Here is a 24,285-nt window from a genome sequence, read left to right on the forward strand (position 1 = left end):
CGAGCTGCCTGGATTTTCTTACATGAGGTGTTTCTTCCCTTCATCTTCCACACCCTTCCCAACCTTGACTCAAAGATCCACCCTTGTCGGGCGCAGTGGCTCACGCCTGTAATCCCAGCACTTTGGGAGGCCAAGGCGGGTGGATCACCTGAGGTCAGAAGTTTGAGACCAGCCTGACCGACATGATGAAACCCAGTCTCTACCGAAAATACAAAAAATTAGCCAGGCATGGTGGTGGGCGCCTGTAATCCCAGCTATGCGGGAGGCTGAGGCAGGAGAATCACTTGAACCTGGGAGGCAGAGGTTGCAGCAAGCCAAGATTGTGCCATTGCACTCCAGCCTGGGCAACAAGAGCGAAACTCCGTCTCAAAAAAAAAAAAAAAATCCAACCTTGAGTGGATGAGACTAGTTTCATTATTTGATTCAGGGCCCTAGCACAGGGGAACTAGAGACAGACCCCACAGAAGAACTGAACTAAGAATGAAACTGGTGTGTGATGCAAGCTGGGTAGGATGAAGGGGAAAACCAAACATCTGTCCAAGTTCCTCTTTCAGCCATGCTGAGGTTTCCTGTAGCCTCCCCCTCTCCTTCCTCAAACCTCTTCCATCACTAAGCAAGTCCCCACTTTAGAAAAGCATCTGGATGCCCACGCCACCACCCTCCCAGCCACCTCTGAAGTTGCCAGGCTTCCCAACATTCTTGTCTGTGGTAGGTCCCACACAACTCACTGTTCACTCTTTCCTTGGAAGTGTGTGAGATGAGGTTTAGTAACGGTGAGGTCCCCAGAAGAGCTATGAAGGGAATAATTTGATTTTGGGAAAGAAGGGGACAGAGTCTCATGAATCAAGTAAATGAGGGGTTAAAAGCCACATTGAAGTGTGCCTTGCTAGCTGCTTGATCCTCCAAGAGCAGCGGGGCTTCACTAGAGGTAAGGGGAGGAGGGGGAGGAAACGGGGCCAAGTTACATGTAGACCTGGCCATGACGCTGCCCCGATGTTATAGGAAGATGGGATAGGAGGAAGCGGGGGAAAAACCTGTGGGAGAAACAGATTCTTCAGTCCGCATTCTTCTGCTCTAACGTCACTCCTACAACCCATGTAAGCAAAATGGGGGCCTCTGTCCCCTTTCCAGAAATCATCTCTTTCCTTCACAGCTCTTCTCTGGACCTTATCACTGCTGTTAAACCATCCCTAGGGCAGAGGAATTCTTGCTCTCTCTAGTCCCTTGCCACTCTGTCATGGAGATTGTCCCCAGCTCTAGACTGTAGTTACCTAGCCTCTTCCTTGAAGAATGTGTATCCCAGTTGAGTGAGGGAAAGTGTGCAAGAGTGCCACCTTCATGTCATTCTATGGTCTCTTGGGGTATGAGGTGAGAACCCAGGCTTCCAGACTTCCTGTCCTTCAAATAGCTGCACTCTCCACAGCCCTAAGCATGGTCAGCAGAGCCATCCATTGTCACAAGTATTGAAGTCTAAGGTAGAATTATGCTTTCTTTTTACAAGTCTCTATCTTTGTATTTTACCAGCATTTTTCCTTTTCTTTTTTTCTTCCTTGTTGCTCCCACATAATGAAAAAAGACAAAAGCACAAATGACATGTGTATCCCAACATGTCAATTATCTGTGGCTCCCAGGGGAGCCAGAAGATGGAGGGAGACACTAGAGAGGAGAATGACAGGTGAAAGAAGCAGAAAAGAAAGATCGGGGACCTCACAACAGTAAGAGAGGAGCTGGGCACTGTGCTCCTGGGCTTCAGGCTCTAAAACCAACAGCTTCCAGTTCTCCAGCAGTTACTGGAACATCCAGGCCCTAGGGTGGTGAAATGAGCCCAGCTTTGAAACCAGATGGATCTGGATTCAAATTCTAACTCTGTTACTTCTTGATTATGAGGCTCTGGGCAAGGCACATGCTTTCCGAGTATCAGTTTTTTTCATCTGCAAGCTGCAGAGCTATTGGATGGGTGAGGACAATATGGAAAATGCCTGTCAGTCAGAAAGTGACCACTGCAGCTACTGTTACTGGTTTGACTCTGGGCAGTGAGCCGCTAGCTCAGTTGGAAGGAGCACTGTGTGAATGAGGCCACCGGGGTGGGGTCACTGTCACTTAGCTAGATCCAGGCCACAGGCTGTGCTGGACCTCTCTCTTCAGAGGAGAGAGCCAGAAGGGATGAAAGCATGGTCCCTGGTCTTCAAGAACTTTAGAGCTTAGCATGGAACCAGGCTTCCCACTAGAAAAATCGCTTAAGGTGCACCCTTGTGGTAGGCTGCTGGCATGAGTTCTGTTGAAGCATTTGTATTGAACCTGGGCACTGTGACAGGAGGATGGGAAGGTGCTTACGTTCATTTCCCTTCCTCCCAGTGCTTCTCCTCCCTCACTTCATCATTTTAGCCCCTCTGCCTGCAATATTTCCCTTCCGTGCCCCCGGTAACTGTGATGCGTGGCAAATGGGCTGGCTCAGTAGCTGTGTGGGGCAACTTTCTCAGCACACAGCTGCCCCCAGACACTTTCAGGGTGCACTTATTCTCCCTCCCTTTCCACTCCCAACCGCTCTGCTCCCTTCTTTTCTTACACAGATGAAGCAAAGGGAAGTGCCCTCCGGAGGCCCTAGGATGGGGAGACGGGGTAAGGGGTGGAACCCAGGACACAGAGTTGAGAGGGGGTGAGGGGTAGAGGCAGGTAAAGAACGAAATCTTAATTCTCATTTCAGTGACACTTTCCTCAACTTTTCCTGTCCTTCCCCATCAGGTTGTTAGCCAGGGGCCTGAGGAGGGATAAAGGAACTGCAGTCCCGGCTCCCTCCATTAGGAAGAATGTCTGGGGTGTTGGCCTGGAACGCTGATGAGTTGATTTCCTTCTATCTCCACAGCATAGGTTTACCAGGGAGAAAAGAAAGGTGCAAATTTCTCTAACTCCTGCCCTGGTCCTCACATACTATGCGGTTCTGAGCCTAGAGCTCTGTCCCTGGGGAAACAGCTCTCGCCTCCTTCCCCAGCCGCTCTCCCAACCCCTCTGCCAGTAATAAATTTGCCTCATTCTCCCAGGAAATGAGTCTCTAAGAATCTCTCTTCTATCTAAACCTCACAGGCAAGCAGTCCCAGCCCACTTCTGCAACCCTCAAGCTCAGCTACTGCCCCCACCCCCCACTTCGTCACTCCCTTCTCTACGCTGGGTTCCTTTCTCTTTCTGCTTTCTTACTACCTCCCTGTCTCCCAACAGGAGCAGCCAATCCCCAGCCTGCTCTAGAGCCACGCCATATATGGAGAGGTTGGAAAGAAACCCGAGTAAATGCAGGAGCGAACACACACACACACTCATACTCATGCACATACTCATGCACACACAGCAGAGTTTGACCGCCTTTCTGCATGTGACCCTGTGTCTATTTGTCTCTGTGTGACACAAGTCCCACCCACAGAATGAGGAGGCTGTTTGCTATTCCCCACCTTTAGTCGTGCCCCAGGAGACCATCACTCCAACCCGTTGCCTCTGACCTAGATTCCTTGCACTAATTACAAGCCTAACAAGAGCTAACAAACACCCCACTTAGAACAGCTGAGACCCTCGAGGTCAATTAGTGCAGCCCAGCTCTGCTCAGGAAATGAGAGATAGAGCCAGAAAGTCTTGTACATGGCCCACCCCAACCTCACCCCAACCCTGGGGTTGGAAGCAAGGATGGGGAGAATGCAAAAATTAGCAGGACCAGTTTAAAAACGGGGTTTTGGAGGGTTAAAAAGTGTGGAGAACACACTTGTTAAGTGCATTAAGGTTGGGGAGCAATTGGAGAATACAGATTCCCAACTCCTCCTGAACTATCAGAAGTGTAGAGGCTGGTGCAGCTACAGAAACCATGGACATAAGGCGGCTTTCATAAGGACTTAATATGAGGAAAAGTAACTCATAGAAAGGCAAGTAGCACTAGAACTCTTGACCTTTGTCATGGTCTCCGACACCAAATCCCTTCTCCTCTTTGCTTCCTGCTGTGAACAAGTTGGGGTTATCACCCCTGTCCTTCCTGCTGGTTTGGGATGGCTCAGAAATCACCCCTTTCTTTCAGAAATAGTAGGCTCATGTCCGTTCTTTCTTTCCCTTCCTCCAGATATTAAAGCCATGACAGCAAACAGCCCCTTTCTCCTAAGGTTCCTGATTTGAAGTGGCAAAACAAGGCAGTGGCATAGTCTCCTGTCCTATGTCCTTGGCATGCAGGTCAGTTGTCCTAATACCATCCCTAATGTTTTTGGCTCTATCAAGTGGGGGAGGCAGGGAAGAGAACACTAGTGGAATACTCTGTGCACAAATAGGGAAGTGGACTCAAAAACACAATGTTCCTCTTGCCCCAGCCTCCACCCAGCTCTGGCTGCAGAGGGCCGCACTCCGCTTGTACCGCAATTCATGCACAGTCCAGACTTATACAGCAGCCGGCAACCCTAAGGGCAGGATGATTCCGAGACACACCAAATCTGTATGTTGATGTGTTGTCCCAAATTTATTTCTCCAGCCTAAATTTCCCTCTCTGGCACTTAGAGCTAAGTGTCAACTTGACATCTTTACCTGGGTATCTAACATGCATCTTAAATGTACTATAAATGTAATAAATGACTAAATAATGATCCTCAGTGAACCAGCCCCACTCCAGGCTCCTTTGCAATATGAGTTTGCTGTTCCTCCCTTTTGAGAGGTATTGCTTTCTCTCCAACTGCTGCTTGAATCTGGGTTTGCCAGTGACTTGTTTTGCCCAATAGAACAAAGAACATGTGCTGTGTACGTTCCAGCGCCTAGGCCTTAAAGGGCCTTGTAGTTTCCACTCCTTTACTCTCTTAAAATTCAGGTGCTTCTAAGAAGCCTGGGCGAGCATCCTTGCTATGAGACCATGAAACCACATGGCTCTGTCCCAGCATCCAAGCCTCCAGTCAGACACAGCTGGAGCAGCACACAAGCAAGACCAGAGACCAGCCGCTCGGCCAGCCCCCAGAAGTGTGAGAAACTAACAAACCATTGCTGTCTTAAGTCACTAGGTTTTGGGGTGGTTTGTTACTCAGCAATAGATACTAAAACAAAGATTGTTTCTTGGAAGTGGGATGCTGCCCTAACTAAAACCTGAAACAAGTGGCATTGATCTTGGGACCCAGCAGCAGACAGCCTAGAAGGGCAGCAAGGAGACTTACAGAGTCTGGATGAGCAGGGAGAAAACTGCTCTCAGAGACGGGAGAAAGACCACCCGTGTTATATGGCGGTGGAATCATTCACAAAACTGTCACCTGTGGTATCTTGGGAGCTAGAAAATATACCTAATAAATTTGTTGGAGGTAGCTAAAGAGACTTCCAGGCAGAATGTTAAAAGTAGCAACAGGCTTTTCTTAGCTGTGATTGGTAAGGTATTGCAGGAAAGAGGAACTAAAAAAGAAACTTTTCAGTTTGCAAGCAGAATTTGACAGAAAAATAAGAGACCAGAACAGTCTCCAGCAAGAAAAACTTTCACCATTGGTAATTTAGGAGAATGTGCTGATGGCAGGGACCACCTGGTCAGTGAAACAATTCAGGCTTTTGAAAAGTACAGAGATAAATTGTACCCCATAAGGATGGGCAATAACAGTGTGTCCATTTTTAACATTAAAATTAAAACACACCAAAAATGCACAGGAGAACAAAGCACACAATGACAAAGGAATTGGCTGTTACTCAGCTGCACTGGTATCGTACAGAAAGATAAGGAAAGGCACTTAGCAAACAACTGAAACTAAGTGTGAGGGCCAGGGGCTTCTTTGGTAGCAAAGAGATCGCCTGCAACAGAAGAGCCATAAAAGATAGACAGAACTCAGAAATTGATAGCAACCAGGAGCTTCAAAAACTAACACCCCACTGAGGCTGAGGCAGGTGGCTAGAACCCTCAGCCAAGGTAGATCTGCCCCATCAAGATCAAGGCCGTGGCTGAGAATACCTGGGCTGGGATTCCAACACGCAGAATGGGGACATCTGGTACCTTGGATGGTGGAGATCCCTGAAGATTTTGGTTCCCAGATTCCTCTGACCCCACATACCCTGCTAAGAGGACCCACCCCTCTCTATTAAGAGCTAGCACCACCTGCTGCCCAGGAAAGGCAATGCAGAGATCTCTCCCTGAAACATAACAGGAGTGCCCCACCAGATCAGCCCCATCTCCTCTTCTGGCTACCAGAATAACTGGACATAAGTCACCACGTAATTCAGAGCCAAGAATGTGCTGGGCCTTACAAGGAAGAAAGGAACTAAACCAAGCATGTACCCACAGGAGCGGGGGAGGTTCCCATGGACCTAGAATTTTTTTTTGTTTTTGTTTGTTTGTTTGTTTTTTGATATGGAGTCTTGCTCTGTCCCCCAGGCTGGAGCACGTGGCACGATCTCGGCTCACTGCAACCTCCGCCTCCTGGGTTCAAGCGATTCTCCTGCCCCAGCCTCCCTAGTAGCTGGGATTACAGGCACCTGCCACCACGCCCGGCTAATTTTTTGTAATTTTAGTAGAGACGGGGTTTCACCATGTTGGCCAGACTGGTCTCGAACTCCTGACCTCGAGTGATCCACCCGCCTCCGCCTCCCAAAGTGTTAGGATTCCAGACGTGAGCCACTGTGCCCAGCCGGACCTAGAGTTTTGAGAATATCAGAATAGAAACCTGGATAAGAAAGTTTATTAATTTAGGGGCACTTTCTTGGGATACAGGATTTACACTCCAGCAAGGACCCCACGAAATAGTTCAGATATATGAATATTATTGTGCTCCTACAAGCCTTGAAAAAGTAATGACCCACGCAGCCCAGTTGAAATGCTTGAATTTCAATGCTTCCTCCACATCAGCAGTGGAGGAAGAAATTTAAAAGTTTAGGAAAGTAGACATGTTGGAATGTATTATTTGAGGTCTAAAGACTCACCGTGGGATTATGTTCCATGGAAGACACACATCCTTTACCACAGCATTGGTGAGGGGGGCACCAGCATCAATAAACAAAATGGGAGCTAGACAGACAGTGGGCCAGGGATGAAGGTAGGAGAGGTCATAACAAAGCTGGGATTATTGATAGCAATGGAAATAACCGACCCCCTCCCCAATGCCAAGCAATAAAGGCCAGGTGGCAACAATAGAAGCCAGGAGGTCACAGTTCTCTCAATGACCAGCAAAGTCAAAGAGCCAGTCAAGACCAGGTACGGTTCATGCCTGTAATCCTGGTGCAAGGTGGGAGGATCACCTGAGGCCAGGGATTTGTGACCAACCTGGGCAACATAGTAAGACCTGTCTCTACAAAAAAAAAATTAGAAATTAGCCAGGCACGGCCAGGCGCGGTGGCTCACGCCTATAAATCCCAGCACTTTGGGAGGCCGAGGCGGGCGGATCACGAGGTCAGGAGATCGAGACCATCCTGGCTAACATGGTGAAACCCCGTCTCTACTAAAAATACAAAAAATAATTAGCTGGGCGTGGTGGTGGGCGCCTGTAGCCCCAGCTACTCGGGAGGCTGAGGCAGGAGAATGGTGTGACCCGGGAGGCAGAGCTTGCAGTGAGCTGAGATCGCGCCACTGCACTCCAGCTTGGGCGACAGAGCAAAACTCCATCTCAAAAAAAAAAAAAATTAGCCAGGCATAGTTGCATGTGCCTGTAGCTCCAGCTACTTGGGAGGCTGAGGTGGGAGGATCCCTTGAGCCCAGGGGTTGGAGGCTGCAGTGAGCCTCCTAGGCTGGTGCCATTGCACTCCATCCTTGTGACAGAGTGAGACCTTGTCTCAATCAATCAATCAATAAAAAAGCCAGTCAAGGGGAAATTAAGTTGATTAATAGAACATGATATCCCTAGGGATAAAATTAACAGCCAACAAGGGCAAATCAAACAAATGCAAGAATAGGCTGAGCACAGTTGCCCCCATAAAAAGTCTTGAAGTAGAGAAATTGGAAGCCTTGTGCAGTGTTGGTGGGAATGTAAAATGGTGCAGCTGCTGTGGAAAACAGTCTGAGTGTTCCCAAAAAATTAAAAATGGAATTACCGTATGATCCAGCAATCCCACTTCAAAAGTATTGAAAGCAGTGTCTTGAGATATTTGCACACCCATATTCACAGCAGCGTTATTCACAACAGCCAAAAGGAAGCAACTCAAGTGTCCATTGATGGATGAAAGGATAAATAAAATGGGAAATGTACATTATTCAGCCTTAAAAAGGAAGAAAGTCCTGTCACATACTACAACATGGATGAGCCTTGAGGATATTATGCTTAGTGAAACACGCCAGTCACAAAAAGACAAAAATACTGTATGATTTTATTTATATGAGGTATCTAAAGTAGTCAGATTCATAGGAACATAAAGTAGAATGGTGGTTGCCAGGAGCCAGGGGCAGGGAGAAATTTGGAGTTGTTGTTTAATAGGTATGGGGGGGTCAGTGTTGCAAGATGAGCAGCTCTAGAGCTCAGCTGCACAACACTGTGAATATACTTAAAACTATGAAACTGTACACTTACAAATTGTTAAGATAATCAATGTTGTTTTGTGTGTGGTTTTTTTCTTTTTTGGGGACAGGGTCTCGCTCTGTTGCCCAGGCTGAAGTGCAGTGGCGCTATCTCGGCTCATTACAGCCTTGACCTCCTAGGTTCAAGCGATCCTCCCACTTCAGCCTCCCAAGTAGCTGGGACTACAAACGCACACCACCACACCCAGCTGAAAATGTTATGTTTTTATCACTATTTAAAATAAAATATATGTTTTAAGAATACTAAAAAAAAAGTCATGATTCCTTCTCATTTCCTAGACCTGAGACATTTTTCAGACCTGAAATCTATTGAATGGGAAAATGTGACAGAGTCCCCGAGAGGAAGGTCCCTGCAACATCACAGCAAGTGTGCACTGTAATAATTCCACCAGTCCTGGGTGACTGTCACCTGGGAGAGGAGGAATATCCACTAGACACAGGGCCTGAAATGACACTGATATTCAAAGACCTGAAATGTCATTATGGCCCCTGTTACAATGATGGGCTATAGGTCAGGTAAAATGGGGATTCTGGCTGATGTCCAGCTTCAAGTGGGTCCACCGGGGCCGTGGCTCCACCTGGTGGTCATTGCCCCAGTCCCTGAGTGTATAACTGGGATTGGTATATTCAGCAGTTGGGGAAGCCCCGATGTGGGGCCCCTGCTTTATGATATAAGAGCTATCATGTGGGGAAGGTCAGTGGAAGCCTCTGAAATTGTGTCCGTCCCCCTTCACCCAGCCAAGATAGCAAATACAAAATAATATCTCATTCCAGAGGGAAGATAGAGATCATTGCCACCCTTAAGTACCTCAAGGATGCAAGGATTGTGGTCTGTGTCATACCTCTGTTTAATTCACCAGCCTGGCCCCTGCAGAAAACACATGGATCCTGGGAAATAACCATAGACGATTCCTAGCTCAGCTCAAGCCCCGAGTGATCATGCAGGGTGTGGTGTCATTGCTAGATTATATAAATATGGCTTCAAGTACATGACATTTGGCCATTGATTTGGCAAATGCATTCTTCTTTATCTCGATCAAGAAAGAGAATCAGAAACAGCATTCACATGGACTGGATGACAATATTCATTTAGATTCCCCCGGCCCCCAGGGTTGTTGTTAACTCTCCCAATCTATGTCATGATACATTCAGAAAAGATCTAGATCATCTGGACTTCCCACAGAATATCACAATGCTCCATTCATCAATGACATTAGGCTAATTTGGGAGAATAGCAAGAGGTGGCTGACACCTGAAAGCCTCGGGAAGACACATGCACTCTAGAAAATGAGACATAAACTCTCTGAAGATTCCAGGGCTTGCCCCTCCCATAAAGTTTTTTGGAATCCAGTGGTAAAGGGTGTACTAGGACGTTGCCTCTGAAACAAAAGACAAAATGCTGCGTCTTGCATGCACAAAGAAGGAACTAAAATGCCTGGAGGGTTCTGGCAGCAAGCATATTCCATGCCTGGGAATAGTGCTCCAGCCTGTATTCTAGAGGGTGCAGCTTTGTGTGGGCCTGGGGCAGGGATATAGAGCCTGATCAACAAAAGGAGCTAGAACTGCTCTTGGACAATAAGGCAGGAATATGTGTGAAACTCAGGTCAGCCACTTGAGCACCTCTTGATGATACCTTTCATGCCCAATGGTGACCTGAATGGCAAGTGCAGCCCAGCCTGTGAAGGGTGACGTGATCAGGGACTCAGAGCCTCTCAGGAATCAGGGTTGTGCTACGCCACCTGGTAGGCTATCGAGACCAGCAGAAATGACAGTGGTGTCATCTGTAGCAGAGAGGGAGAGTGGAATTTAGAATGGATAATGGAGGAGGGAAATGATGTTACCTATTGCAAGACCAACTGCAGCAACAGCCTGTGGTTAACCCACTGACCTCCCTTAACTAAGTCCCTTCAAGAAAAGAGCCCATTGAAACCCCGGAAGAGCTACCCCTCAATGTGTGTGGAAAGTAGATCCACATGGTACAAAAGGAAGACTGTGGTAGCCATGAAGGTGCCCCACTTGGATTTGTCTTCAAGAAAGAACTTGCTGCTCAGCTGCAAGGAGGACAGTTAGCTGTCAGCCTCCAGCTGTTAGTGCTGAGGGATCTGTCTCAGTTTTCCAGCCAAGGCACACTGCTCTCAGCAGGCTCTGGCCAGTGACTGAGCAGAGTGGAGGGGTTCTTAGGGCCTGGACATTTCTGCCCTATGCGAACCCCTCTAATGAAACACCTTTGCTCTGGAGTTCCCCAATATGTTGCCCAAGATTCTATCTGCATTTCAGTCTGAGGCTCTCCTTGTTGAACCCTGCTTCCTGTCCCCTCTCATAGGTACTCCCTCTTAGGCCTCTTACACTCCTCATTCAGTATCTGCTTCTCAGAGGAGGCAGCTGACAAACCTTTCTTCCTCTTGTCTTTCCCATCCCCAACATCTAATCCATCAGCAAGTCTTTTTGGTTCTACCTTAAAGCATAGCTGGAATATGACCATTTCTCCATCTCTCCTCTGCCAGCTCCTTCCCTACATAGTCTAGTGATGTCTCTTTGCCTCCTCTCATCCCCATTCAGCAGCTGGAGTGTCTTCTTGTATGTGTGTGGGTGTTTTTGTTTTTGTTTTTGTTTGTGTGTGTGTGTGTGTGTGTGTGTGTGTGTGTGTGTGACAGAGTTTCGCTCTTGTTGTCCAGGCTGGAGGGCCATGGTGTAATCTCGGCTCATCACAACCTCCGCCTCCCAGGTTCAAGTGATTCTCCTGCCTCAGCCTCCCGAGTAGCTGGGATTACAGGTATATGTGCCATCATGCCCGGCTAATTTTGTATTTTTTTTTTTTTAGTAGAGACGAGGTTTCTCCATGTTGGTCAGGCTGGTCTTGAACTCCGACTTCAGGTGATCTGCCAGCCTCAGCCTCCCAAAGTGCTGGGATTACAGGTGTGAGCCACCACGCCCAGCCTGGAGTGTCTTCTTAAAGCAGTTCATGTCACTTGACTACTTAAAACCACCCTAATTTCATGTCACTCTTAAAAATCCAAATATTTTCTTTGGCAAATAAGGCCCTTCTCTGCCAAGCACAGTGGCTCATGCCTGTAATCCCAGCACTTTGGAAGGCTGAGGCAGGCAGATAGCTTGAGCCCAGGAATTTGAGACCAGCCTGCACAACATGGCAAAACCTCATCTCTACTAAAAATACAAATAAATAGCCAGGCGTGGTGATGCATACCTATAGTCCCAGCTACTTGGGAGGCTGAGGTGGGAGGACCACTTGAGCCTGGGAGGTCAAGGATGCAGTGAATCAAGATTGTCCCACTGCACTCCAGTCTGGGCGACAGAGTGAGAGCTTGTCTCAAAAAAGAAAAAGGGAAAAAAAAAGGTCCTTCTTCTTCTGACTCATGCATATCTCCAACCTTATCCCCAGGCCAGACACACAGATCTCTTTTCTGTTCTGTACACACGCCAAGCTCTTTCCCACCTCAGGACCTTTGCCCTTGCTATTCCTTCTGCCTAAAATACCCTTGTTCTCTTTTTTAACTTCTTTATCCAAACATCAGTTCTTATGAGCCTTCTCTGGCTGCTCTGTCTTGAGAGGCACCCCTTCCAACAGAATTGTTACCTTATCATTCTGCTTCCATCACAACAATGACCACAGTCTAATTATTCTCCTCAGTTGCCTCTTTATTTTCTCTCTCCCTGGGTAGAATAGAAGCCCGCACAGGGTGGGGCCCTGACTTATCTCCCCACACCTAAACTCAATCTTTATTTGTGTAATGAATGATTGAAGAAAGCCTTACCTAACACATGTACATCTCCACCACATTATCCCCACCATTTAGTTCCATTGTAATAAAAGTAATACCTTTTGATGGTCCTTTACAGTTTTAGATAGCATGTTCTTGTTTGCCATCAATAGCTCTCTCACACACACACTATTTAATTTTTGATCTTCATAATTAACCCTGTGAAGAAAATAGGACAAGTATGACCCCCAAATTAAGGATTAGAAAAATTGAAGCCGGCCAGGCATGGTGGCTCACGCCTGTAATCCCAGCACTTTGGAAGGCCGAGGCGGGTGGATCACTTGAGGTCAGGAGTTTGAGACCAGCCTGGCCAACATGGTGAAACTCCATCTCTACTAAAAATACAAAAAAAATTAGCCGGGCGTGGTGGCGGGCACCTATAACCCCAGCTACTCGGGAGGCTCAGGCAGGAGAATCAGGTGAACCTGGGAGGCGGAGGTTGCAGTGAGCTGAGATCGTGCCATTGCACTCCAGCCTGGGTGACAGAGCAAGAATCTGTACTTAAAAAAAAAAAAAAAAAAAAAATGAAATCGAGAGAAGTAACCAAGGTAGAAAGTGTCAAAAAGTGTCAAAATCAAAATCTAAAAGCAGGCTTTGGGAAATGCAGTGATGTCTGACCCCAACTGCCTGGATTCAGGCCAGACTTCACAGGGTAAGGAACAGTCCTCCACTTCAGGCCACTCTCACTTCAGACACCAGTAGCCAGTTCAGGGGTTGGTTCCACTACCCCTGCAGGTTTGATAATTTGCTACAATGACTCACAGAACTCAGGAAAGCACTATACTTATGATAAGTTAAACTTTTATTGCAGCAAAAGGGTACAAATCAGAACCAGCCAAGAGAAGAGATACAGAGGGCAAAGTCTGGGAAGAGCTACACGGGAAGCTTTGGGCACCTTCTCCTGTGGAGTTCCAGACATCACTGCCCCTCCCTGCTACGAGGTGTGGCAGTGCTTGCGAGTGCTGCCACCAGGAAAGCTTGCCCGAGTCTTTGGTGTCCAGAGCCCTTGCTGGAGCTTGACCACATGCTGCCTGCATGACTGACCTTTGCTCTCCAGTCCCTATGGGGGCTGGAACTGATATGGCGTGTTTCGGAGCCCCCATTATAAATCACATCATTTGAGCATCTGGTGGCCAAACTCCTCAGGCAAACAATGACATTCCTATTGGGCAGGACATTCCAGAGGCCTAGAGATCATCTCCCAGTAGCCGAGGGCCAAAGCCAGACCTCTCTTTGGGTAAAATCAATTCTTCACTACACAGGGGAGTTTTACCTTTTGTTTTTTTTAATTCGAGATCGAGTGCTATAACACACTGTTCTGTTTAATCTTTGCTCTCTTCTTTGACCTGTTTCTTCTCTTTCCAAGTTGGCTTCAGGTCACATGTTGCTCTGGAGAACCGAGAAGGGTGAGCAGACACCAATCATGACCCCAAACAGCAAGAGGACAGAAGGTAAGTGAAGTCTTTATGATCAAGCAAGAAATATTCTGTTTACAATGGAAATTATTATAAATTATCTTTTTTTACATGACATTGAAATGAGTTCTAGTAAATGTATCTGTTAGTAAGGAAAAGACCAAAGCAATGCCGGGCAGTGATGTCAAAGTAACATAATACTGTAATCTACTTGACATTCTCTGATAATATACCACAACACTGCAGCCTATAATTTCCTACAGATTAATATGCCAAGAAGGTGCCAGTTACTTATTGAAATGTAAAATTCAGATGATTTCACTGGTGTGTGGTGGGAGCTTATGCACATGGGTATATAAACGTGTGGCTGCTTTCTCTCTTATTTCACAAAAGTCCATTGCGGGTTTTTTGTTCGTTTGTTTGAGATGGAGTCTCGCTCTGTTGCCCAGGCTGGAGTGCAGTGGCATGATCTCTGCTCACTGCACCCTCCGCCTCCTGGGTTCAAGCGATTTTCCTGCCTCAGCCTCCTAAGTAGCTGGGATTACAGGCATGCGCCATCACACCTGGCTAATTTTTTTGTATTTTTAGTAGAGATTGGGTTTCACCATGTTGGCCAGGCTGTTCTCGAACTCCTAACCTCATGATCTGCTTACCTAAGCCTCCCAAAGTGCTGGGATTATAGGCTTGATCCACCACGCCCAGCCTTCATTGTGATTATTAATTTTGGAGTACAAGCTGTCATCACACTGTCATCAAAAACATTTATTAAGTCTCCAAATTGCAAAGTATGTTTTGTTTTTGTAACTGTTTATTTACCTTTCTCCCAACTAGATGGTGAGCAGTTTACACAGGTGCTCAACAAATGTATTTTAATGAATGTCTACAAGAGGTTAACTAATTTGAATTTTTAAAAAAAATTACCCGAGGTGGGCGGATCACGAGGTCAGGAGATCGAGACCATCCTGGCTAACACGGTGAAACCCTGTCTCTACTAAAAATACAAAAAATTAGCCGGGAGAGGTGGCGGGCACCTGTAGTCCCAGCTACTCGGGAGGCTGAGGCAGGAGAATGGCGTAAACCCCGGGGGACAGAGCCTGCAGTGAGCCGAGATCGTGGCACTGCACTCCAGCCTGGGCGACAGCGAGACTCCATCTCAAAAAAAAAAAAAATTACACAGCACAATAGAAGCATAATAAAAGTATAACAACAATAATGAACCTATAAGAAGGCATTGAAGTTGCTGCCCAGAAAGTCAGTTTCCCGTTCCAGCTCTGCTCCTTGGTTGTTTGACATTGGGCAGGTCTCAATTCTCACATCTATTTCCTCATCTGAAAAACAGAATAACTCATGTTTGCTCTACTTACCCAGGAGGCTACTGTAAGAATCAAATGAATCCATCAATTTTAAGGTGTTTTACAAACGATGAAGTATTTTGCTGATGTTATTATTTCTTTTTGTTGTTGCTGTTTTGAGACGGAGTCTCACTCTGTCACCCAGGCTGGAGTGCCGTGGTGCCATCTCAGCTCACTGCAACCTCTGCCTCCCAGGCTGAAATGATTATCCTGCCTCAGCCTCCCAAGTAGCTGGAACTACAGGCACCCACCACCATACCCAGCTAATTTGTGTGTTTTTAGTAGAGACAGGGTTTCGCCATGTTGTCCAGACTGGCCTCGAACTCCTGGCCTCAGGTGATCCACCTACCTCGGCCTCCCAAAGTGCTGAGATTACAGGTGTGACCCACCGCGCCCGGCCTGCTGATGTTATTATTTCAACAGAAAAATTATTTTAGAAGTGGCATGCATTTTACTAGGATGCAAAACATGATTGGGGAAACAGACTCAAGAATTCTAAACCTAGGCAGATTGAGGTCAGGGAAGGTACCTCTCATCTCTTTAGTCTTGAAGTAGTCTAGAAGTAATCTACTCCTGGTCTCTGCTGTTTATTATTTGTCTTCTTTGAGCTTCAGTTTCTTTTTTTTTCTTTTTTTTTTTTTGTAGACAAGAGTCTTACTCCGTTGCCCAGGCCAGAGTGCAATGGCACGATCTCGGCTCACTGCAACCTCCACCTCCTAGGTTGAAGCGATTTTTCTGCCTCAGCCTCCTGAGTAGCTGGGATTACAGGCACCTGCCACCATGCCCGGCTAATTTTTGTATTTTTACTAGAGACGGGGTTTCACCATGTTGGCCAGGCTGCTCTCGAACTTCTGACCTCAGGTGATCCACCCATCTCAGCCTCCCAAAGTGCTGGGATTACAGACATGAGACATGGCACCTGGATCTTTTTTTTTTTTTGAGACAAGGTCTCACTCTCGCCCAGGCTGGAGTGCAGTGGTGCGATCTCAGCTCACTGCAGTCTCCGCCTCCTGGGCTCAAGGAATTCTCATGCCTCAGCCTCATGAGTAGCTGGGATTACATGCGTGTGCCACCACACCTGACTAACTTTCATATTTTTGGTAGAGACGGGGTTTCACCATGTTGGCCAGGATGGTCTTGAACTCCTGACCTCAAGTGATCCTCCCACCTTGGCCTCCCAAAATGCTGGGATTACAGGTGTGAGCCACTGTGCCCGGCCCTCAGTTTCTTTATATCATTCTCTCTGAGCCTCGTTTATGTTATATGTAACATGGTGATAAAATGTGCCTTGCCCCAGAAGGTTTGCTAGGGGGTTCAAATTAGATGATTGTTGCTAAGGTCTCTGTGACAGCTATAAAGTACTATACAAATGTAAAAAAATCTTGTATGAATTACCTGAAGGTGATGAGCTTTCAGAGACAGTTTCAGTAAAGCACACAGGCTGAGAGTATGGGAGGCTAACATTGGCAGTCACATCCCAGGAAAGAATAGAACATTTTGGTATCTATTATCTTGGGTTGGATTACACATTGCCTTAGGAACTCCATTGTGACAAGGCCTTGCAAAAAAGTAAAATGAAACATAGGCCCTTTCACATACATTGGCTCAATAAATCTTCCCAACACTGTGCCAAGTGGGAATTATGATGCCCATTTGACTGATGGGGAACTGAAGCTTGGAGATGTTGAAACATACCCAAGATTATGCAACTGGCAGATGGCTGCATCAAAACAAATTTCTCCAACTCCAGCAGAAAAGTTAAGAGCATGCTTACATGAAAAGGAAGAGCTGGCCGGGCGCGTGGCTCACACCTGTAATCCCAACACTTTGGGAGGCTGAGGCAGGTGGATCACCTGAAGTCAGGAGCTTGAGACCAGCCTGACCAACATGGAGAAACCCCATCTCTACTAAAAATACAAAAAAAGAAAAAATTATCTGGGCGTGGTGTTGCATGCCTGTAACTCGGGAGGCTGAGGCAGGAGAATCATTTGAACCCAGGAGGCAGTGGTTGCTGTGAGCCGAGATCAGACCGTTGCACTCCAGCCTGGGCAACAAGAATGAAACTCCGTCTCAAAAAAAAAAAAAAAAAAAAAAAAGAAAAGGAAGAGCTAGTCGGGGGTGGCCTTAAACAAATGGCCCATTTCTCATTCCTCCCTGACACAACTTTCTACCCAAGCCAGCAAACATTTTCTTTCACAAATACTTCTTTTCTCTTTTTTTTTTTTTTTTTGTTAGACGGAGTCTCACTCTGTCACCCAGGCTGGAGTGTAGTGGCACAATCTCAGTTCACTGTAACCTCCACCTCCCTGGTTCCAGCAATTCTCCTGCCTCAGCCTCCCAAGTAGCTGGGTTTATAGGTGCATGCCACCGTGCCCGGCTAATTTTTGTATTTTTAGTAGAGACAGCGTTTCACCAAGTTGGCCAGGCTGGTCTCAAACTCCTGACCTTGTGATCCACCTGCCTCGGCCTCCCAACATTCTGGGATTACAGGCATAAGCCACCGCGCCCGGCCAGTACTTCATATTTCTTACTATGGCTGGGGTTCCCAGAGAAACAACTATGACAACAGGTGGATTTAGGATACAACAGGGTGACGTCTGTGCACGGGCAGGAAGGCATTTTTACTGGAGCGGAGTATGATCAATGTTCACAGCTGTGGCAGCCTGCTCCCCTGAAAGATCTTTAATTGGAGAAGAAGTGGCTATAGCCAGCTTCACTCTGACCCTGTTAGAAATGCCCAGTTCTTAAGTCACATCCCAATTCTACACATAGACTCAAGGGTTTGCAGAAACACCCACTACTCTCCCACCTCCCTCCTCATAAATATGTTCATCCTATGGCCTAGGCGAGTCAAGAGTAGTCCGTCAGACACAAAGACACTAGTGGTCCCTATTTATGTATAAATCTTTTTCACCACCTAGAATTCTTCCTTCATTATTTTGTGTCTCTTCCCTTATTTAAAAGCTAATTTTAAAAAATCTAACTCAAATATCAAAAATTAGAAACAGCCCCAATGTACATCAATTTGGAGACCAATTTGGCTGGACTCACACCTGTAATCCTAGCACTTTGGGAGGCTGAGACAGGTGGATCGCTTGAGCCCAGGAGTTTGAAACCAGCCTGAGCAACAGGGTGAAACTCCGACTCTAAAAAGAAATACAAAGATTAGCTGGGTGTGTTGGCACACACCTGTAGTCTCAGCTAATCAGGAGGCTGAAGTGGGAGGATACTTTGACCTCAGGAGGCAGAGGTTGCAGTGAGCCGAGATCACGCCACTGCACTCCAGCCTGAGAAATACAGCGAGACCCTGTCTCAAAAAAAAAAAAAAAAAAAAGGAGACTAGTTTAAATAAATAATGAGAGCACACATTCAAACAATGGACTATTAAAAGAACAAAGTAGACAGGACATGGTGGCTCACACCTGTAATCCCAGTGCTCTGGGAGGCCAATGCAGGAGGATCACTTGAGGCCAGGGTTTGAGACCAGCCTGGGCAACATAGGGAGAGCCCATCTCTATAAAAAATTTAAAAATTAGATGGGCATGGTGGCACACTCCTGTAGTTATAGCTACTTGGAGGCAGGAGCAGGAGGAAGTCTGGGGTTACAGTGAGCTATGATTGCACCACTGCAATCCAGCCTGAGCAATAGACCAAGGCCCTGTCTCTTTAGAAACAAACCAAAAATAGATATAGCAAGACTGCCAAAATATAATGTTAAGTGAATTAGTAAAGGGAAGAGCAAGGTGTATAGTATGTTCCAATTTTTATAAAAAATAAATATTAAACATAGGCTTACAGTGGCACAAAAAGCTCTAGAATACACAAGAACTGTTAAGAATGGCTGACTCTGGTTAAGGAGACACTTTTCATTGTATTCCTTTAGTGCTGTTTGAATTTTACCATGGCATATATTACTAATTCAATTCAAACAAAACAAAAACAACTTTAACTAAACATGTTTTTCTACCAAAAGCTTTACTTGTCCACCCTACTTCCTAAGTATCTCCCAAATCTGATTACCACCCCCTTCCCACTGCCTCTGCCCCAGCCCAACTACAGGAGTGGACTGTGCTTTGCTCCTGAATTCCATAATCTCAAGGGGCATGTTTCCTTTAAAACATAATTGTTTAAAAAAAAAAAACACCTGGTTATCCAGACCATTTGGTTAAATTGAAAACTATCAAAAGGCATATTACCAGTCACACCTGGCTGTATCCTGCATTACAGAGCTGTTTGAAGGTCAATTTTGAGTTGTTTGCCCTGAGTGCCAACATTGCTACTCATGGTTTTGCCTCTACAGTTTCAGGCCATCAACCCCTCTCTCTCCAACGACTGCAACAGTCTTCTAATTAGTGTCACTAACTCTACTGTTTCTTATGCCCACACTGCAATTAGAGTGATCTAAAATTTTAAATCTGGCTTGGCGCAGTGGCTCACGCCTGTAATCCCAACACTTTAGGAAGCCGAGGCGGGCATATCACCTGAGGTCAGGAGTTTGAGACCAGCCTGGCCAACATGATGAAACCCTGTCTCTATTAAAAATACGGAAAAAAAAAGAAAAAGAAAAAATTAGCCAGGCATGGTGGTAGGCACCTGTAATCCCAGCTACTCGGGAGGCTGAAGCAGGAGAATTGCTTGAACCTGGGAGGCAGAGGTTGCAGTGAACCCAGATCATGCCATAGCACTCCAGCCTGGGCAACAAGAGCAAGACTCCATATCAAAAAAAAAAAAATTAAAATTTTAAATCTGATATTTATAGTCCCCACTGCCCTTGAGTTAGAGTCCACCTTCTTTAACACGGTTTACAGGGCCTCTGTGATCCTAGTCGCTTCTTTCTTTGGCCTTGTCCTTCCTCTCCATTCCCCTTATAGACACCTCAGGGCTGCCCCATGCTCTAAACTCCAGCCACACTGCACATTGGTGAACTTTATGCGCTGAATCAGCATTGCTGTCTCTGGTCTCTAACACTCATACCTGCTGTTTGCTCTTTAGGGATCCCCCCTACTCCACAGCTTGACGGCAGAGCAGTGACCAGAATATATGCTCAGGAAGGCCAAAGAGATGAAGCCGCAGCTGCCTCTTTTTTTTTTTTGAGACAGTCTCATTCTGTTGCCCGGGCTGGAGTGCAGTGGTGCGATCTCGGCTCACTGTAACCTCCACCTCCCAGGTTCAAGCAATTCTCGTACCTCAGCCTCCCAGGTAGCTGGAACTATACAGGTGTACCATCACACCCGGCTAATTATTTTTTGTCTTTTTTTGTAGAGATGGGGTTTCGCCATGTTGGTCAGGCTGGTCTCGAACTCCTGGCCTCAGGTGATCCACGCACCTCCGCCTCCCAAAGTCCTGGGATTAGAGGCGTGAGCCACCGTGCCCAGCCAGGCTTGCTTCTCTGAGCCATACCCTTCTGTTGGAACAAGCATCCTTTCTATTAAAAGCAATAAATCTCCTCTTATTTAAGTGGCAGATGGTTTAGATTGTTACTTTTGCTTTCAGCGATCCTCTAGAAAAAGAAGGAACTTTAAGGTTGAGAACTAACTTCTAGCAGCTATGCAGAAGTTCTGAGAGGTGACTCGTGTTTTTTACATCAAGACCTCCACAAAGGCCCCTTCTGTCATTGAGTCAAAGTTCTAGCGACCTAGGTTCATCCTCAAATGTGTAATGAAAACCTGTAAATCACTTGGACTCCACTTCCCCTCCCACCCTGGGTCCTCCACCCCACCTTGCTTTGGTTTTGCTTGGGGAGAAAGTGGTCTCTACACAATATGTCTCTCTCCCTATCAGTCTGCAGGATGCTCAGCAGGGGCACTCCCTGAACACGCCTGCTCCCACAGCATGTGCAAAGGCTTCACACTTGGATTGAGGGTTATACATTTCTTCATGGACATCCCCAAACAACACAGAACAGAGACAAGGTTTCTGGTCCTTTTGGAATGTCCACACCATTCCCATTCTTCAAAATCTGTCACACTTCCAGATAGTTCCAGTGAACAATGAACTCTCCCCCTATGCAGTAACAGTTGATTATTCAATTTAACACTGAATTATATATTCTCTGGAACTGTTCTCTAACAACTATGAGGCGTTTTCAACGGTAGTTGAATGGAAAAATACCAAACTGGGAGTAAAAAGATCTGGCTTCCAGGCCAGGCGCGGTGGCTCATGCATGTAATCCCAGTACTTTGGGAGGCTGAGGCGGGCGGATCACCTGAGCTCAAGAGTTCGAGACCAGCCTGGACAACATGGTGAAACCCTGTCTCTACTAAAAATAGAAAAATTAGTCAAGCGTCATGGTGGGCGCCTGTAATCCCAGCTGCTCGGGAGACTGAGGCATGAGAATCGCCTGCACCTGGGAGGCGGAGGTTGCAGTGAGCCGAGATCGGGCCATTGCACTCCAGCCTGAGCGACAGAGCAAGACTCCGTCTCAAAAAAAAAAAAAAAAGATCTGGCCTCTCAAGAGGCCGCCACTAACTCTCTGTGTAACCTTGAGCAAGCCAATGTTCTGGGCCTTGGTGCTTCCTGCAGGGTAAGAGGAGGACTGCCGATCTCTAAGGATCTTCCGTGGTCTATGGGTTTATGACTCGAAACTCCTCAAAGTGCAGAAACACAAGCCACATCCCTTCTCAAGGCCAGACACATACTAGGAGCTCTATTAATACCTGAATAAAAACCACGGATGAAGAGCTTGCCTGGCCCTGGCATTTCTATACCAAACCAACACACCATGGATCATTGTATCTTCCCTGGGACAGACCCTCAGAGCCTACAAGTGACTCTACAACTTCACTGATACAGATCTATTATTCCTTAGCTTAGACTTCCATCTCTCCAGATCAACCTTCAGGAAAACTAGGAAACTATCAATAATGATTTCAATTGTCGGCTTCAAATTCACCTTATTTCTTCTACCCCAGCATGCCTTTTTTGTGGCAGCACTTAGATTCTCATTCAGAAAACAAACGCATTCATGCCGTACCAGTGATTTGTTGGGGAAACTGCCTCGGCCCCACCACCCAGATCCCCCACGTTCCTACCAAGTAAGCCAAGTGACCATGTGAAGAACTGACTGACACCCAGAGGAAACTAATAAACAAAAACAAATAAAAGCAAATACCTTTTCAGGAATCTCACTTGGAAAACCAAGTATAATGGCAAAAACAACCAAAAAAAAAAACCCGAATGTTTTCAGCGTTGGGGATGTTGGGGGTGTAGACATCTCGAGAGCTGGTTTCCGAAGGCACCGCACCCCAGACAATGTGCTACAAGAGCCTCCCGGCTGCTGTGTCAATGAAGCCTTTCAGGCCCTCCACACTGCTTCACTTGTTCCCTAAAGTAGTGCTTTCTGGAAGCTAAACTCTCAGCTGGCGAGAACAGTGAACTCTGTGCCATTTGTCTATCAACTCCTTTAAAAAGAAAAACCTCCTGTACGGCTCTCTTGTTTTGCATTTTCTATTCTGCACTCCAGTACGCATAACGACACACAGAAGAGGCAAGGGCCTCTTTTAAAACCGTGAAGAAAGAATAAATTTGAAAGCACCCAGAAGCCTCTGCTTTCAGCTATTAGAGAAAAGTTTGCATCCCATAGAAACCAGTACTAATTAAAAAAAAAAAAACTCAGTCCTCAACCCTGGGAATCAACAATAAGGGACTCTTCAGGGTGTGGAGTAACAAAAAAATTTAAAAACAAAAAATAAATGTGCACAGCCCATCTATCTTTTCCCAATCAAATAATACAGCCTTCCAAAATGTAAAAATAGAAATATTTTCACATGTGAATTTTACCTCAATAAAGTAATTTTTTAAAAATCTTTTTAGCCGGGCACAGTGGCTCATGCTTATAATCCCAGCATTTTGGGAGGCCAAGGCAGGCAGATCACGAGGTCAGGAGTTCAAGATCAGCCTGGCCAAGATGGTGAAACCCCATCTCTACTAAAAATACAAAAAATTAGCCAGGCATGGTGGTGCACACCTGTAATCTCAGCTACTCGGGAGCTGAGGCAGGAGAATCGCTTGAACCCAGGAGACAGAGGTTGCAGTGATCCAAGACTGAGCCTGCACTCCAGCCTGGGTAACAAGAGTGAAACTCAGTCTCACAAAAAAAAAAAAAGAAGAAGAAGAAAACAGGAAGTGCCTTCCATAATTCCAAATACAGTATTGTTAAATATTAATGTATTATGTCCAAATAGTTCAGTGAATTTCAAGTTTTCATCCAGATGAATGGAGTTCTTCATATTCATTCAACTAATAAATATTCCTTGAGCATCTACGACATGCTAGGCATTTTTACAAGTAAAAACAAAAGTAGACAAAAATTGCTGTCTTTATGGACTCTATATTCTAGTAGAGGGCAGAAAAGCCAGTGACCGATAAAAGCCAGTGACCAACACTTGTGTTTTTTAGCTGACTTATTCTTGGGTATTTAAAAGAGATCTTGGGCCGAGCAGTGGCTCATGTCTGTAATCCCAGCATGTTGGGAGGCCGAGGCGGGCGAATCATCTGAGGTCAGGAGTTCGAGACCAGCCTGGCTAACATGGTAAAACCCCATCTCTACTAAAAACACAAAAAATTAGCCAGGCGTGTTTGGCGCACGCCTGTAATCCCAGCTACTCGGGAGGCTGAGGCAGGAGAATTCCTTGAACCTGGGAGGCGGAGGTTGCAATGAGCTGAGATTGCGCCATGGCACTCTGGCTTGGGCAACAAGAGCAGAACTCCGTCTGAAAAAAAAAAAAGATCTTGAAGTTCAAAAATTATACGAGTCTGTTATTTTCCTAGTCTTTTCTCCACTCCAAAGAAAGATAAACCTAATTGGTATTCCTTACCACTACAACAATCAGGACCACTGAAGTGAGAGGAAAGGAAGCTATACAAGGATGTATTTAAAGCTCATTACTTAAACAAAATGAAAACATAAGATCCAGAGAGTTCTTTTTATGTTTGTTTAAGAGCTTCAGAAAGGCTGGGCAGGCTGGCACATGCCTGTTGTCCTAGCTACTCGGGAGGCTGAGGCAGAAGGATAGCTTAAGCCCAGGAATTTGTATCCACCCCAGGCAACATAGTGAGGCCTCATTAAAAAAAAAAAGGAAAGAAAAAAGGGTTTTAGAAAACATAATCTGATGCACAGATTATAGAGTTTTGCATTTTTAAAAAATAGATCTAATTGATAAGACAGCAAAAAATGAATATGTGGAACCCAGCAATTTCATTCCACGTACACACTAGAGCAGTAATCAGCAAACATTTTCTGCATAGAATTAGATACC

General features: G+C 46.1%; 1 long non-coding RNA gene across 1 annotated transcript, besides 7 other annotated features; it reads left to right on the forward strand.

Moving 5' to 3' along the window:
* Positions 386 to 695: an enhancer, noted in NCBI's record as "active region_1670". NCBI's record gives its function as "activates an Ori minimal core promoter by ATAC-STARR-seq in GM12878 lymphoblastoid cells {active_cell/tissue: GM12878}" and the evidence as "EXISTENCE:reporter gene assay evidence [ECO:0000049][PMID:35858748]".
* On the forward strand, positions 626 to 21,126 carry LINC02988 (long intergenic non-protein coding RNA 2988). The gene is made up of 4 exons (NR_135098.1): positions 626 to 708; positions 4,094 to 4,200; positions 13,628 to 13,712; positions 20,810 to 21,126. It is a non-coding gene; the product is annotated as a long intergenic non-protein coding RNA 2988 (long non-coding RNA).
* Positions 1,306 to 1,375: a silencer, noted in NCBI's record as "silent region_1297". NCBI's record gives its function as "represses an Ori minimal core promoter by ATAC-STARR-seq in GM12878 lymphoblastoid cells {active_cell/tissue: GM12878}" and the evidence as "EXISTENCE:reporter gene assay evidence [ECO:0000049][PMID:35858748]".
* Positions 1,964 to 2,033: a silencer, noted in NCBI's record as "silent region_1298". NCBI's record gives its function as "represses an Ori minimal core promoter by ATAC-STARR-seq in GM12878 lymphoblastoid cells {active_cell/tissue: GM12878}" and the evidence as "EXISTENCE:reporter gene assay evidence [ECO:0000049][PMID:35858748]".
* Positions 3,044 to 3,233: an enhancer, noted in NCBI's record as "active region_1671". NCBI's record gives its function as "activates an Ori minimal core promoter by ATAC-STARR-seq in GM12878 lymphoblastoid cells {active_cell/tissue: GM12878}" and the evidence as "EXISTENCE:reporter gene assay evidence [ECO:0000049][PMID:35858748]".
* Positions 4,861 to 4,910: an enhancer, noted in NCBI's record as "active region_1672". NCBI's record gives its function as "activates an Ori minimal core promoter by ATAC-STARR-seq in GM12878 lymphoblastoid cells {active_cell/tissue: GM12878}" and the evidence as "EXISTENCE:reporter gene assay evidence [ECO:0000049][PMID:35858748]".
* Positions 5,091 to 5,360: an enhancer, noted in NCBI's record as "active region_1673". NCBI's record gives its function as "activates an Ori minimal core promoter by ATAC-STARR-seq in GM12878 lymphoblastoid cells {active_cell/tissue: GM12878}" and the evidence as "EXISTENCE:reporter gene assay evidence [ECO:0000049][PMID:35858748]".
* Positions 13,247 to 13,541: a silencer, noted in NCBI's record as "tiled region #9169; K562 Repressive non-DNase unmatched - State 7:EnhWF". NCBI's record gives its function as "represses a minimal TATA promoter and a strong SV40 promoter by Sharpr-MPRA in K562 cells {active_cell/tissue: K562}" and the evidence as "EXISTENCE:reporter gene assay evidence [ECO:0000049][PMID:27701403]".
* Positions 21,127 to 24,285: the final 3,159 nt, after the last annotated feature.

Source organism: Homo sapiens, chromosome 1, assembly GCF_000001405.40.
Source record: "Homo sapiens chromosome 1, GRCh38.p14 Primary Assembly".
NCBI classification, from domain to species: domain Eukaryota; kingdom Metazoa; phylum Chordata; class Mammalia; order Primates; family Hominidae; genus Homo; species Homo sapiens.